Source organism: Homo sapiens, chromosome 21, assembly GCF_000001405.40.
Source record: "Homo sapiens chromosome 21, GRCh38.p14 Primary Assembly".
NCBI classification, from domain to species: Eukaryota; Metazoa; Chordata; class Mammalia; order Primates; family Hominidae; genus Homo; species Homo sapiens.
The window spans coordinates 22,831,495-22,832,617 of NC_000021.9; the positions used below are offsets into that span (position 1 = coordinate 22,831,495).

Genomic DNA, 1,123 nt, shown 5'->3' on the forward strand with positions numbered 1-1,123 from the left:
GCCCCACCCATTTTACTCTACAGTCACACCACCTGGAAGAGGAAAGAAAAACCAACAGTAATATAGGAAAAGAAAGGGAATAATCGTATCTGCATGAAAATGATTACACAAATTAGAAGTGCCAGCATGTCCATGAAAAATGTATATGTTGTAACAGCCCTAACGGATCAAACTATCTCTCCAGCACTGGTCCCCAACCAAAAGGGAAACTCAGAAATAACAAATAAAGAATTCAAATCATGGATGACAAGGAAGTTCAACATAGTGAAGACAAGACTGAAAATCAACACGAAGAAACTATTAAAACAATCCAGAAAATGACAGAAGAGATGAACACATTAAAGATAAATCAGTAAGAGTTTATAGAGTTAGAAAACTCACTTAAGGAATTACAAAATACAATCGAAAGCTTTATCAGTAAAACAGACCAAGCAGAAAAATTTCAGATCTTGAAAAATTGTTTTTCAAACAAATTCAGACAAAATTAAAGAAAAAAGAATTAAAGAAAATGAACAAAGTTTTTTTAAAAATGGAGTTATGTAAAGTGACTAAACCTACCAATTATTGCCATTCCTGAAAGAAAGAGAGAAAAAGTTAACAATGTGGAAAATATGTTTGAGGGAATAATTCAAGAAAAAATTTCCTAATCTTGCTAGAGAGGTTGAAATCCAAATACAATAAATTCAGACAAAACCTAGGACAGGCTATACAGAATGAACATCACCAAGACATGTAGTCACGAGGTTTCAAGGTCAACACTAAAGAGAAAAATCTTAAAGACAATCAGGAAGAAAAAACAAAAAAAAAAGGCCTACACAAGGTCAACACTAAAGAAAAAAAAAAAATCAAAGACTGCCAGAAAAAAGGGCCAAATATATACAAAGGTAACCCTGTCAGGCTAACAATGGACTTCTTAGCAGAACCACTATAAGGTAGAATAGATTGCAGACCTATTTTCAGTATTCTTAAAGGAAAGAAACTCCAACCAGGAGTTTTATATCTCAACAAACTAAACTTTATAATATGTGAAGGAAAAATAAATTTTTTTTCCAACAAGCAAGAACTAAAGGAATTCCACCAGACCAGTCTTATAAGAGATCCTTAAGGTAGTTCTAAGCATGGA

At 32.7% G+C, this 1,123-nt stretch overlaps 1 annotated feature.

Moving 5' to 3' along the window:
- Positions 281–481: a silencer, noted in NCBI's record as "peak4382 fragment used in MPRA reporter construct". NCBI's record gives its function as "represses an SCP1 promoter by STARR-seq MPRAs in K562 erythroleukemia cells {active_cell/tissue: K562}" and the evidence as "EXISTENCE:reporter gene assay evidence [ECO:0000049][PMID:32103011]".